We start from the raw sequence: 15,730 nt of genomic DNA, 5'->3' as shown, positions 1-15,730 counted from the left end.
ATCAGACACAAAGTCAAAGCTTGACTCTAAATATCCTTATTTCTCATCCTGTGCCTTGTGATAATACCCTATTTGTTATCAAGGACTGTACAAGGGGGACCAACTATGGTATTTACAACTGACTGAGGGACTATCAAATACATGAATTTATCTTTGGTTCAAATAAGCTGGCACAACTTTGAGAATGTTTCTATAAACTACTGGAGTCTTTTGAGATTAAACATTTGCCTGGAGATTTTGTGAAAAGAAGCTGGTGCTTCCTGCTGTTCACTGAACTAGAAAATCTTCAAAAACAAACTATTTTTCTTACCGCATTTCAGAACTTGCTATTTCCTTTATGTGGTTCTTTCTAGAACCCTGAAGTGAAGAAGTAACTGGAAATGAAAAGGAACTAGAAATATTTATGAGATACTTTAAAACTTCAAAAAAATAAGGCATTTCTTACCTAATTTTGCTAATCTCAAGATTGCCTGGGGCTCATATCAAGTAGGTTACCATATCATATTAACCAGCAGTAGGTTAAAATAATAACAAATTCACCAAAACCTATGACCCACTTCAATTCAAAGACTTAGAAGAATCAAAAAGCTTCAAGAGAATTCCTATTCTATTTGAGTCTATTTATCCAGAATGTATAGCAAACATGTGCTGCAGAGGCAGCCCAGACATTGGAGAGAGCATTAGGCCATGGGCCAAGAGAAGGGGCATTGGCCTTATCTCGCTACTAATTCTGTGTGAATGGGTCAAACCTCCAAGACTCTCCAGGCTATATATATGAAACAGGGTCTCCCTCTGTCACCCAGGCTGGAGTGCAGTGGTACAATCTCAGCTCACTGCAGCACACCCAGCTAATTTTTGCATTTCTGTAGAGACAGGGGTCTTCCCATGTTGCCCAGGCTGGTGTTGAACTCCTGGGCTCAAGAGATCCTCTGGCCTTGGGCTCCCAAAGTGCTGGGATTACAGGCATGAGCCAATGCACCCAGCCGTACTTCACATATTATAAATATTTGTTAAATAAACAAAATGTGTTTTATTTATTCATTCATTCCACAAATGTTTAACATCTACTACATGACAGGCAATACTGTAGGAGTTGGGATTATAACACTGAATAATACAAAGTTCCTGTTCTCAAGTCACTCACTTTCTAGTGGAAGTCGGACTATGAACAAATATAAAATATCAGATAAGGGATGTGTTATAAAGAAAATAAACCATGCTGATGTGATCAAGAGCAAATGTGGGCTCCCTTTAGATTGTATAGCAAAGGACCTCTAAAGCAGGAGAAGACCAGTGTGGCTTCCACAGCATGAGAAGGGGACGAGAAAGAGGTGGGCAGGGGACAGATTACATGAGGGGACATGATCTGACTGATGTTAATAAGAGATCACTCTGGCTTCTCTTTGAAATCTGGATACTGAGGGGGGTGAAAAAGAAGCTGGAAGCCTATCATAGGAGATCTTTACAGCAGAGAGAAGAGAAAAAAATGCAACTTGGAGTGAAGTGATGGTAATAAGATGGAGGAAAAATAGACAAAATTGAGGTATGTTTCAGCAATAGAGTCAGCAGGAGATTCCTGAGGGATTGGATTTTGGAGGGAAGGGAAATAAAACAATCTAGGAAAATTCATAGGGTTCTGGCTTATATAACTAGGTAGACACTGACACCATCTTCTCAGACGAACAAGACTAAAGGAGAAGCAGGTTGGATGAGGGAATCAAAAAGGTCTGATTATGTTTCATTTATTTTTTTCACTTGATATTCACAACTTGTGAGATACCAAGTACCGTTGAGCCCTATTTTATAGTAAGAAAAACCTAGAGAAAAAGTGATTTTTTAACTTTTTAGAAATTAAACATCTTTCAAGTCTTTTGACTTCAACTCTAAAGTTTATTACCTCAATTTGAAAGAGCCAAAGTCAATTCCAGAGAATAAAAAAAAGAAAACCTAAGATTTAAAAACAATTATTAGTTTTATTTAACAGCATTTGCTAACATGTATGCTTATCTTTCTTTTTTTAATATTCAAAGTTAATTACTATCTGTCTATGTTCAGTTATAGCCATCTTGTTTTGGGTAGAAGCTACCCATTGCCTGAAATCAGTATGATGACCTGGATTAATATTCTACAACAGTGTTTTGGACGCTAGACAGCACAGTTGGTTAGTGTGCATTAATATGGCTGAAATAGCAAGTCAGACCTTCACAAAGGCCTCTAAAGTATGATCAAGGAATAAAAGTTTAAGACTCTGAATGACATCACATGACCCACCACTAGATCAAAAGCCCCAAAGTACCAGAGTATCATGAAATGGGCAGGTGTTCCCTGCTCAAAATGCTATGTCAAAAACTAGGTTTTCACCCATTTTAATCTGGGACACTAGGAATGATTTCAACAAACACTTGTTTAGAAACAACGGCTTCCCCCAAAAAAAAGCATTCCATAAGTGCTTGCATTGTTTATCACAAGATGAACAATAGCTATTGGCTATAAATGGCTGATCATTAATGGGGAGAATGATCCTAATAATGACATATGTCCTAATAATGACAGACTTTCAGATTTTCCAAGTCCACAAAAGGCAGCCTTTGGTCATTGTGAAAACAATCATTTTCTTTTTTGGAAATAGTATTTTCTTTTGGCTTTCAGACTGAAGCATCGTCTAGTATTTTTCTATCAATACTAAAAAGACCCAAAGCCTTGACTTTTGCTTTAGCTCTGATGCAGAACTGCCAAATGTGAGTACTATGAAAGAGTCGATATGGATGAGAAAAAGTGCACTGATATTAAGCTTCAAAGCCAAACTTTATGTTGGGGTAGATGAGAAATAGAAAAAGAGTTAATTTCCAAAACCATTTTTTCACTGAAACATGCATTCATTTTCCTTGAAAACAAACAAACACAGTGCTTGGAAAAAAAAAAAAAGGAAAAAGAAACAGCAGTGCCTTTATCACATAAAATATTCAGCATTTTGTTTTAGTTTCTTAAATGAATAGGAACAATTTTAGGAATGCCTTCAGTAAAAACTAAAATTCATTTGCTGAGCTCCCCCTGCTGATTTACAACAGCAAATATTAGTTGTTTCACAAGAGAACATTACCATAAAAACTCATTTTTGTTTCTTAGAAACTTAAAATTCCTGGATTACTTTTAAAAATTTCAACCAAGTCGTTAAATACATATCCTAAAAATAGTTGACTGGAACAGACATATGGTGGTACTTACAATGTCTGAATTAACATGTTAGAATTCAGTAATGAGAATATAACATCTAGGTCAGGTTACCCAACCTTTCCTCTCAGAACCTGAGAAAAGGGAGAAATCAATTTAATTCTCTCCATAAATCTTTTGGAAGACAGATGTAGAGACAGCATGTGCCATTTTCACTGGGACAATTACAATGACAACTTAATGGATAACTAAGCACAATCTGGTTTATAGTCAGGTTAATGGTAGATTGTGTTCTTTGAAGACAAGAACTGCATCTTAGTCATGTTGGCATGCTCAAACGACCAACAGAACTCTTCCAACTCTTATTAAGTCTTCTAGTAATACTTGATAAAACACTTTGAATACGAGTACAATTGTTTTCTGAATATGAGTACAAATCTGTGCTATTGTTTATTTTAGTACCAAAGTCCAAGGAGAGACTTGATGTGCTCTCTCCCACCCTGACACACTGAAATCTATGTATTTAAAAATTGCCTTGGCCCTAACCTGTCCTAAAATATAAAGTTAATTTGACTAGCATGGTCCATGCAATATAAGAAAAGGGAAATACTGATTAAGAAGACTATATAAAAGACATAAAGATTACTGAATTTTGCCACAGAGCAAATGCACGTGGAGGAATAAAATTTTGTACCGTATAGCAATAAACTTCCAGTGTATTTGTGAAATACTGAGGGAAGAAATAATGACTGGAGTTTAATTATCAGACAGAAGATGGTAGTCACCTATACAGAATTTTTTCTATATGCTTGAATAGGGCTGCAAGAGATGGTAATAAAATATTTGTAGGTCTATGTATTTATCAAGTGACTCTACCTAAACAAGGTCAAACGGCTTGTGTCTGACAAATTCCAGTCTATGTAATCATCCTTCGAACACAAGGAAACTATTTCAGCTTTGCAAATAGACACTTTGCCTTTCATTGGGGAACAAATTATTTTACATATTTAGGATGAAATATTTCATAACCTTCCCTTCGGGGCTCTCTGACTCATGTCCCCACTGTGCACTCAGAGGCATCACCTAGGCTCCCTAGGGAGCTCCCTTGCCCTCTTCCCCTTTTGAGTATAGGCCTGCGCTGTGGCTTCTGGACAGATTACTGCTGGAGGGAACTTCCTCCACATGCAATCTTGTCACAACATCACCTAATATAATATGTGTGCTACTGCCTCTGCACCATGGTCATATCTTTTTCCTAAATCAAACCCCAAATGCCTCAAACCCCTACAGTAATGCACAATATTCCTTTCATAGAATGTTAATAGATTTTACCTGAAAAATATGACCCCATGGTGAATTTAGTTTTGGAAATGCTGTTAAACAGATTTCCCTACCACAGGGCATCCCAGAACCTTTACTATATTTATTTGCATTGTGACTTTCCAAGAGAGGAATGAAAAACTCAGTGTTTCCAAAACTCATGTGGGAAACTCAGTGTTTTCCACACTGGAAACATTTATTGGGGAGCATCTTGGGAAAGCAGAAGCATGGCTGGCTTTTTACATCATGGGAAGCGGCCTCAGGGCTGAGGTGAATGGGCATTAGTGGGGAAAGTAACTTCTTTGAATTGCTCACGTAAATACTGGTGTCTAAAAACCATTCTCCACTAAATTAAACTAGGGCTCCTTGAGAAATAGGTAATTCCAGGGCTAGGGAAAAGAAAGTACTAGATAAGCCTGAAACATCTTTTCAAATCAGAAAGTAAAGAAGTCCTCGTAGAACGGACAGTGACATGTGAAAAAAATATAGGGGCTTACAGGAAAAAATGAAGGATGATTTCAGCATCAAAGTAAATTATGTTAATAAAGATTAACCCATCAAATAAAGTAAGAATCTGCAAGTACACGCTGGTATGAATAAATAAATGAAATTTTGAAATGGAGAGAAGGAAAAAGTTCTACCTTGTAGTAGAATGCCAATTAATAAATAGAGAAATAACAATAGAATATAAAAATCACCATTTGGCCACCATCACAGTAATAACTGACTAAGGCAAAAATCATCAATGGATCCTAAAATTAGTGGGTAAAAATTTTATGGTGAATACGATATTTACATAGCCAAAGAATCAATGGACTTCATGTCAGTAAATATTTGTCAAACGATTAAGACATACATATAAACACACAAACATATATATATATTTTAACAGGGAATGGTAAAGTAGATGGAGTGCAACCTTAACAACTGGGAATCTGAGTGAAATTTGAGTTCTTTCTTCCATTCTTGCAATTTTTAAAATAAATTTGAAATCACTTCACAATAAAAAGTAAAGTAAGGTGTAGGAAAAGTCCCTTCTCTTACATTGCTTTGGTAATGACAGTTTCTAGCTGCTCAATTCAATCAATTAATTAGTGTTCTACCCACTTTACTCTTCACAGAAGCCTTTACCACTGACCAGAGGAATGGATGATGCCTCCCTTGGTTCCCAGGACTGAGTGCTCCTTCCTTGGACAGCTTCTGCTGGGGATGTTTTTTCCTCCAGTTGAAGAATCACTACGTAGTGATGTTGCTATACCCCTCAACCACTTTTCTCACTCACAGGCCCCAGAGAAAGCACATCCATGCTATTGACTTCAGGCCCACTTAACTCATGGGTAAGTTTCTTCTAAAATTTTAGTTCTGACTCACCTTTCCCAGTAATTCACAGGCACAGAGCTTCTGATTTTACTACACTTTGCAGGTTCCATGGTTTTTGCATCTTCTTAAAAGGTCATTGCTTTTCTCATCTTAGAATTCTTTCAATGCTTCTAAATAGAAAACTTTAAAGTCACCAAATGGTTTCCTCAAATCCTCCATATCATCTAGCATAATGCAGGGCATGTATTAGGTGCTAAGTAGATATTTCTTGACTTACTGACTGGAACATATTTACCTGTTCCTGAACTATTAGAAAACATTTCATTATATAGGCATGTCCTAAGAAATACTACAATAAACACCTCAGCAAAATTAACATTTTTCTCAATTACTTTTATTATACAACCAAAGATACAATAATAAAAATCACAGATAAAATTAAGAAACACTTAAAAAGAAAGAAACATTTTGCTAGACTCTATCAGTGGTATTCCAAATTTTAAACCTGAAGCATTTTGGAATAACATATCTTGTACTGTAAAGGAACCAGTGACAGATATAGTATTTAAAGCCAGAAAGCAAAGATGTTCTATGATTCAAACCATTTCATCTGACTCCACTATAATCTAGTGCTTCCATACAGAAATCTCAAGGCTTTTAAGTGTTTAATTACCATCTATTTTTGAAAATAAACTTAAGGCCCAATGATAGTGCTTAAGATCTCAGTCTCTGGAGTCCAACATACAATAAGACCATTTACTGAGGAACCTCAGGCAAATTACTTAACTTGATCGAGCCTCAGTTTTCTCATATGTAAAATAGGATATTAATGGTACCTAAATCAAAGAGCTGCTATTAGGCAGAAATACAGTGGTATTTGTAAGGTAGGTGGCATATGTTAAGCACTCAACAAATACTCATTATTATTATTATTGTTATTACTGCCATGATTAAATAAAAATGAAAAAATAAAAAAACCAGGATCTCAAAGTGCATACATAGCATGATTCAATTTCACTAAAAGGGCAAAGCACATATAAACATATATATATATATATATATATATATATATATATATATATATACACACACATTTGTATTTATATGTACATATTTAAGGTATTTATTTATACATATGTTTTTATATATATTCATGTGTTGTTTAACAATGGGGATACTTTCCAAGAAATGCATTGTTAGGCAATTTCATTATTGTGTAAACATCATAGAGTGCACTTACACAAACCTAGATGGAATAGCCTACTACATACCTAGGCTATATGGTATAGCTTATTGATCACAGGCTACACACCTGTGTAGCATGTTACTGTACTACAGGAAATTGTAACACAATGGTAAGTATTTACAAATCTAAACATATTAAACAGAGAAAAGGTAAACTAAAAATAGAGCATGAAAGATTAAAAATGGTACACTTGTATAGGGCATTTGCCATGAATGGAGTTTGCAGGATGGAAGTTGCTCTGGGTGAGTCAGTGAGTAAGTGGTGAGTGAATGTGAAGGCCTAGGACATTATTGTACACTACTGTAGGCTTCATTAACAATGTATACTTAGGCTACACTAAATTCATAAAAAATATTTTTCTTTTTTCCATAATAAATTAAACATTTAATTTTTTAAAAACTTTTTGACTCTTTTGTAATAACACTTAGCTTAAAACACAAACACACTGTACAGTCATACAAAAATATTTTCTTTCTTTATATTCTTATTCCATAAGCTTTTTTTTTTTTTGAGACAAAGTCTCACTCTTGTCCCCCAGACTGGAGTGCAATGGTGCAATCTCAGCTCACTGCAACCTCTGCCTCTGGGGTTCAAGCGATTCTCCTGCCTCAGCCTCCCGACTAGCTGGGACTACAGGCGCCTGCCACCACGCCTGGCTAATTTTAGTAGAGATGGGGTTTCACCATGTTAGCCAGGCTGGTCTCCAACTCCTGACCTCAGGTGATCCATTCCACTTCGGCCTCCCAAAGTGCTGAGATGACAGGCATGATCCACCGCACCCGGCCCATAAGCTTTTTTTCTACTTATTTTATTATTATTTTTTTTAAGACAGAGTCTCGCTTTGTCGCCCAGGCTGGAACGCAGTGGTGTGATCTTGGCTCACTGTAACCTCCACCTCCCAGGTTCAAGCAATTCTCCTGCCTCAGCCTCCTGAGTAGCTGGGATTACAGGTGCATATCACCACGCCCAGCTAATTCTTGTATTTTTAGTAGAGATGAGATTTCACTATGTTGGTCAGGCTGGTCTTGAACTCCTGACCTCATGATCCACCCACCTTGGCCTCCCAAAGTGCTAGGATTATAGGTGTGAGCCACTGCGCCTGGCTCTCTACTTAATTTTTTTTTTTTTTTTTTTTTTTTTTTTACTTTTTAAGCTTTCTTGTTAAAAATAAAGACATGAACATACACATTCGCCTAGGCCTGCACAATGTCAGGTTCACCCATATCACTGCCTTACACCTCCACATCTTGACCCATTGGAAGATATTCAGGGGAACAACATGCATGAAGCTGTCATCTCCTATGATAACAATGCTTTCTTCTGGAACACTTCTTGAAAGGCTGCCTGAGGCTGTTTTACAGTTAACTTTTTGTTAATAAGTAGAATGAGTTAATATAAGTATAATAAGTTAATAAGTAGAATGAGTACACTCTAAGTGATTAAAAGTATATGGCATTATATGTATATATATAAAATATATTTTTATATATATTAAATTACATATATATAAAACACACATCCCAGTAACAGTTGCTTACATTAGCAAGTATTACGTACTGTACATAATTGAATATGCTATTCTTCTACACAACTGGCAGCACAGTAGGTTTGTTTACACCTGCATCACCACAAATACATGAGTAATTCATTACAATAGGACATTACAACAGCTGTGACATCACTAGGCAGTAAGAATTTTTCAGCTCCATTATAATCTTATGGGACCACCATTGTATATGCAGTCCATTGCTAATCAAAACATCCTATGTGGCACATGGCTATATTTTACATTGATATTTACACATATATATGTGCTATGTGTGTGTGTATGTATCTATATCTATACCGAGAGACAGAAAGCACACGAGTCTGCAAGGAACCATGAAAGAGATTCATAGAAAAAAGATATGAAAAAAAAATGCACCACCGAGTGGTCATCTAATGATCAATGAATAACAATTCATTTTGTTCTTACACTTCACCGTATTCTTCAGATTTCTATGAACAGATTATCTTTGCAAATATAACCATAAATATGCTATTAAAAAAAACCTTTCGCAAGAATGAACCATATTTGTTTAGAGTGTTATGTCCACAAAAATTTTGTTCACATTATTTACAATACGGATGGTCCTCAACTTACCACAGTTCAACTTACAATTTCTTGAGGTTATGATGGGTTTATTGGGAAGTAACCCATCATAAGTCAGAGAGCTCTGTATGACCCATGATGGGTTACAGCTTTTATTGAATAGATGTCGCTTTCACGCCATCATAAGTCGAAAAATCTTAAGTCAAACCATAGTAAGTAGAGAACTATCTGCTATGTCAGTGGCATTAAATTCATTTTTGACTTAGGATATTTTTTATTTACCATGAGTTTACAGAGGCATAACCCCACTGTAAGTCAAGGAGCATCTGTAATTAGGAAAATACCGTTTTCACTGCTTTACATAGCCAGCTTGCTTCTTTTCATCAGAGAATAACTATGAAGAAAAAAATAAGTGACATGATTACCCTCTGCAAGTTCCACTCGGGTTGCTCACTGGTTCCATCATGTCCTATCCTTATCTTATATATGTTTCCAGTGTTTCTTATTTCAACCTGAATGAAATGCAAAGGAGAAAAAAATTATCAGAATTTTTTAAATTAAGCACATTAAAAAATTCTTTCTTTTTACACTAACTGCATTTTTTGTTCCTAATAGTTAAAAAGCTCTCAGGAACTCTTTCAGAGTCTAGAAATGAAATGCCCTCAAGAAACAATCAGTGAACCTCACAGACACAGAGTATGAGACAGAAATATCATGAGACTTGACTAAAAATATGCAGAAGGAGTCAAATGAGAGAACAGGATGAAGAACACACATATGCTCAGTTCTCTGACTACCACACATTTCTCACTGGAAGCCAACACTTTCTGAGTTCCAATGACAGAAAGATGGGCTTGTATTTTAAGAAATTAAAAAAAAAAACAATTTTCGCCAAAGAAAAGCTAAATATGGTGATTTCTACAAGCTTAAGAAAAGTGTGAGTCTAGAACTTCCTTGTACTCTGAAAATCCTGTTGTCTTTGATGATACCTAGGTTAAGATATAGATGTTCTACGTTCAAGGAAGAGAAGCAAACCTGCCCACAGAATATGGGTGCTGATTTAGTTTTTGATGTGGCCCAAGAGTATTTGTTAATCCAGGTAGCATTGTGGAGAACTGGCTTTGGGAATCACTTTTAGCTCAACTGGAAGCCTAGCTGTTGCAAACGGAGTAAAATATGTTTTTGTAAACTGAGTAAAGTATGTTTTTTTTACTTCTCTTATCTTCAATTTCTTTATCTGTTGAATGGTCACATAATGCTTTCTGCATAAAATTTTCAGTTCAACTAAATAAATGTATATTAAAACAATAAACAATGTGCAAGTCCACAGGTATGCGAAGATGAAAATGACGGCACAATCTCTAACTTGGAGAAATATACAGACTAGCAAGGGAGACAGACTTATAAGCAGATATTTTTAGTATAATAAAATATGTCCAGGACACTGAACTGTGAGGATTTTTTTTAAATGTAATATACCACCTTATTGCTTAATGGCTTCAATAATAGCCATTGTTATTATTTCTACTACAGGCACCAATCTACCTCTGCAGACTAGAGATATAAAGAGGCAGGCACTTGCATATTATGTCTGACTAGACATTGCCTACCTATGGACTAGACCCTGAAAGAGCTGGGACAGTCAAATCACCCAGAAACTATCAGAACTCCTTTTTCATACCCAGTTCCCATGCTTAGAATTCTTTTTTTTAAGTGCCCACCACCACTTTCCCCTACAGACTGCAGCAGCTAGAACAGACCTGGGCCTGTTTCAATGCCAGGTCAAGAGAAATTATGCTGTTCTCAACTGGGAAGAAGGAAAATAGGGATGTTAATCCCCAACAGCCAATTTCCCCCCACTTCCTTATTCCCAGAGCTGGTTTCAGTGGCAGAACTCAGAGGCTAGCTCTTCCTCCCAGAGGAAGCAGGAAGTTATCCTCCAGTTTGAGGCTAGTTTGTCTCTAAAAGGTAAACCACACTTTAAATATCCTTTCATTGTCCCAAGAATCTATTAGCACTTAAGTGTAAACTTCCTTTCTCCACAATTTAAGTGAAAACAATAAAGGGATATCTGAACAGTCTGGTTACCAAGCATATGTGACTTGATACCTATCTGTCTGTTAAGGCAGAAGAGCAGAACTAACTGCCACTCAGGTCTGTGCCAGCCAGGGGGGAAAGACTTGACATGCTTGTCCCTTCCAATCCACACAGTCACCCTGTGAAGGGTAAGGCTCTTTTAAGTGTCTACTTTAAAAGATGAAGAAATTCAAACAGGTTAAGTCATTTGTCTAAGGATACACAGCTGGATACACAGAAAGTTCCAAAAGTAAAATTTGAACCCAAGTTTAATAAAATATCCCACATTGTCCTCAAAAATGGCTATATGCTCACTTCAGGACTGGAAAGAAGGAAAAGAGAATGAAAGACAAACTTATAAGTGGCAAATGATGCCAATGAAAAGGAACAAGGGAATCAATACCCACAGAGAAGAGAGTGTATAAATGTGTCAATTCATTCTAATTTAGGATTCTCAAACTATCATAAGACCCCAGTCTTATGAGTGCCCATTAACCCCTAGGCCAGTGCTTCTCAAACTTTAGTGCACACACAGATTACCTGGGGATCTGGTTAAAATGCAGATTCTGATGCAGTAGGTCTGGGATGGGAACCCAAATTCTGTGTGTTTAACAAGATCCCAGGCAATGCCCATCCTGCTGGCCTGGAGTCCACAAGACTCTACACTCCTGGGGGCTTCCATGTGTAGACCCAATCTCCACCACTGAGGTAATAATCTAAAGCTATTCACACTTCACAGTAAATGACAGAGGCCAGTAGAAAACATATCCTGAGCCATTTACCAGCAGAGGGAGTCCTTGGTGCCTGTAATCTGTCATCTGTAGAGCACTTCCCATCTACCAGGTGCAGCGCACGGCACACACCTTCCCAGGCATTCTTTAAACTACACAGCAAGGCTTTTAAGTGAGTATTATTACCCACCTTGTGCTAAGTAGGATACTGAGGATTAGTAAGGATAATCAGTCTATTTAACGTCACAGAACTAGTGAGAGGGTGATTTGAACCTGGTCTCTGACTCCAAGGCTTCTGTTCTTAACCAGTTTATGAGTTTTACCGTATGTCAATAGGATTCCTTTTTTAATTTATACACATTTTCTCTTTTTGTCATCACAATACCTTAAAATTTAGAAAGAAAAGATCTTATTGCCTGTATTCTATACATAAAGATAGTGCTGGCCTGGAGAAATTAAGTGGCATATTCAAGGTCACATAACTAACATGTGGGAAGCAAGGACTCCAATCTAGCTCATCCGATTTGCAGTCTAGTGCTATATCCAGGATTCTCAACCTTGGTTGCACTTTAGAATCACTTGGGGAACATCTAAAAACCTCAATACCCAGACTGTACCTCAGGCAAATTAAACTAGAATTTCTGGAGGTGGAATCAGGCATCAGTAGTTTTTAAAGCTCCCTGGGTAATTCCAATGTGCAATCAAGACTGAGAATCTATACCATCCATTCCAAGATTTGACCCTAAGTAAATTTTTCAGAAAAACATTGATAGGATTTATCAGCATATAAATACATATACCACAAGGTATATTATGAGAAAATTAGACTTTTGTGGGGTGACTTAAGGATCTAACCATACATACACATTCTGAATTCTAAACAATTATCTTCAAATAATCTTTTGAAATATGTATTTGTATAAGGTATGGCTGCCTGTGCAAGGAGCCAAAGTGCTCCTCCACAACTGCAGACAACTGCTTTTCTTCAGCGAAAATTAACTTTAATGATTACAAAAGTAGAATGACAGGCTCAGGTCTAAGAATCTAGAAACCATTTGAGTATTAGTGATTGCCAGGTACTGTAGCCCCAAATAGCCTTGGGTTCCTGGTGACATGAGTTGTCCTCAATCATTCTCTATTCTCTAGCCAGCCTTAGGATGCAAAAGGAATACCCTCCAGAGAAAATGACTGCTGTTTAACAGTACACCAAAGAGCCACACAGCTTTCACAGGCAGTGGGGCTGGAAGGGTGAATTAGTGAAGTGGAATGTAATTGTCCTAATTGAAACTTGGCCAAAGCTCTGAGGAACAAGGAGAGGCAACCAGCTACATGCAAACTTAAGCAGCCCAGTGCTCTCTGACTCTAAGAAGTAAAGGAGAGAGAAATTAGAAATGGGCATGGGCAAAGCTTCAAAACATGGCCTGTGAAGATGCCAAGGAAATGATTTCATTCTCAAGACTTTTTTAATTAAAAAGATGAAAAATAATTTTATAAAAAGAAAATAATTTCAGACCTGTATAGCTCAGCTGAGCAACATCTATAAGTATATGCAAGTATATAAAAGAAGAGTTTTCATTACCAGAATAATCTCTATACAGCTTATAAGCCGGTTATAAATTGAGTTGAAGTTGACAGTTTATAGGGCCAGTTTCAAACCCATGGCCTAAAATAAACTGTCTTTAAAGAAAGCAAATTTTTCTACAACTTTCCTTGCTTGAATAAGATATGTGAGCAAAAATATTTCCTTTGATTGTTACAATAAGCATTATTAACTTACAGGCATTCTAAAAGACCAGAGGTTCATTTTATATAGGAGACACACACACACACACACACACACTTCTACATTACAGAAATGTCTTTGAAATGTTCACAGGAAAATATTACTGCCAGTGTTGTTTACCTGAAACTCATCCTCGTGTCCTGGAAGGAAGAGCTGCTCTGAGCTGTCCTTGCGAAGACTTATTGGCCCAGTGACTCCTTTATCTCCATACACCCAGAGAGTGACATTGGCTTGAGTTCCTGTATTTCCTGTCAGCACTAACACCTTCCATTCATCTTCTGACAGAAGAGTCTCACTACTTTGGAAATGTCTGATTTCTTCTATGGGGGAAAAAAGCATTAGTGGCAGATCAGATATAACATCAGGCTGACAGAATCCTTTGTCACACTGGAGCCAAAGGACATGAAAACTGGGCAGGGTAGGGTGAAGCAAGCAGGAGGCACTGCACTGTGAAGACTCCAGGGAGCTGATTTGCGCTTGTCTCCTCACAGCAAGGTTCTGGTCAACTGAAACTCAATCACCGAAGTAAACTGGATTCGAACAATAAACATCTGACCTACATGGCAATCTTTCACTTATCCTCAATGCTATAGCACAGGAAGGCAAACTGGAGTTTCTGTCCCATGGCCACAGATTTTTCATAAAGCTGCCTGCTTGACCTACATATTTTATATAGAACTACCACCATATAAAGTAACAAAAAAGGGGAATTAAAACATGTTTTCACATAAAATAGGTAAGTGGCAAATTGAGGGCAAAGAAAAATTTTCTGAAATATTTCTGAAAAAATTAAAAAATACCTTACTGGCGTGGGCAATGGAAAGGATTTGGAACTAAAGAGAGAATTTTCACACATACAAATGGTTCCTGAGGTGCTCAGAGCAGTTGTCCATGACAGCAGGGATGCAAAGCACTTGTGTTTCACAATGCATCCTCTAGCAACCAGCAGTGCCCAAACACAGTCACTCCTGTTTGTAAAGAATGCCATGACATCCCAAGCTAGAATGGCTGTCTTCTTCACACTCCCTTTCGCCTGTGGTCTCATCTGAGGAGATACTGGGCCAGACAATGCTGAGGGCATCTCCCAAGCTACTCTGCACGGGTTGTCTGAAAGTACCCCAAATGCACTTTAATTCTTAACTGATATTTCCACTTTGAAATCTTATATACCCAAGATGATGAGGCAAAAGTTCTTCATGTCAAATGGTTAAAAGGTAGCCAGAGCTGATCTCCTTCCTTTAATTCTGTAGCTTGAAACTATAGGCAGCCCTCGGCAGCACTTAGGATCTTACCAACAATGATGACAAGTCTAGAAAATAAGAAATTCTTCCTGCTAAGCTATAATGAACTAATTTTAAAATAAAAACCATGCAAAAATATATAAATAAAAACAAATGCTATGAAAGAACTGACATTCATTTTTAAAAGTTTCTTTCTCTAGAATGTGCTGAGTAATCTCTGTCAGTATAACAGCTCTGGGTAATCTCTGTGGGAGTGACTGAACAATTTAATTGTTTTTAAGCTCCTATTATATGCAGGGTTCTGTGTTGCATGTTTCATATGCATTTCTCATTCAATCCTCATTCCAAACTCATAAGGTGAGTCAAATTATGATGCTCATTTTAAGAAGAGGAAAAGAAGCAGGGAAGTTAAATAATATAGCCAAGTCACATAATAAGTAAACTATGGGATGTTTAACTGCAACGCACCTGCACTTAAACAAGCTTGATAGGCATTCCGTGTTCACCTAAACATAATTCACCAGGATGCAGCAGTGCTGCTAGCATCTGAGGTTTTCTTCTGCGCTGCACACTACCCTAAGCACTTAACATTCATCATCATGTCACTCTCACTCAACCCTCATACTACTCCTGTGAGGTGCTGTCCCCTATTAAGCAGATGGACAGACTGGGACTCAGAAGTGAAGTGACTTGCCCAGAGTTACACAGGAAGTAACAGGGAACTAAACTTCAAACCCAGGCAGAGCAAGT

At 37.2% G+C, this 15,730-nt stretch overlaps 1 protein-coding gene across 8 annotated transcripts in view; it reads right to left on the bottom strand.

Moving 5' to 3' along the window:
- The window catches only part of RP1 (RP1 axonemal microtubule associated), a 312,050-nt gene that overhangs the window by 122,631 nt on the left and 173,689 nt on the right, over positions 1–15,730 (bottom strand). For 7 of the 8 annotated variants that reach the window (XM_047422069.1, XM_047422070.1, XM_047422072.1 and 4 more), the window contains 2 exons: positions 13,860–14,059; positions 9,575–9,661 (listed from right to left, as the gene is read on the bottom strand). In XM_047422069.1, coding sequence (XP_047278025.1) covers positions 9,575–9,661; positions 13,860–14,059 — 287 coding nt within the window. The remainder of the gene's footprint in view (positions 1–9,574; positions 9,662–13,859; positions 14,060–15,730) is intronic. The other variant, XM_047422071.1, reaches the window with a different exon arrangement.

The sequence above is a fragment of the Homo sapiens genome, chromosome 8, assembly GCF_000001405.40.
Source record: "Homo sapiens chromosome 8, GRCh38.p14 Primary Assembly".
NCBI classification, from domain to species: Eukaryota; Metazoa; Chordata; class Mammalia; order Primates; family Hominidae; genus Homo; species Homo sapiens.
Note: the sequence above shows the minus strand (reverse complement) of the source record. Positions and strands in the feature narration are given on the sequence as shown.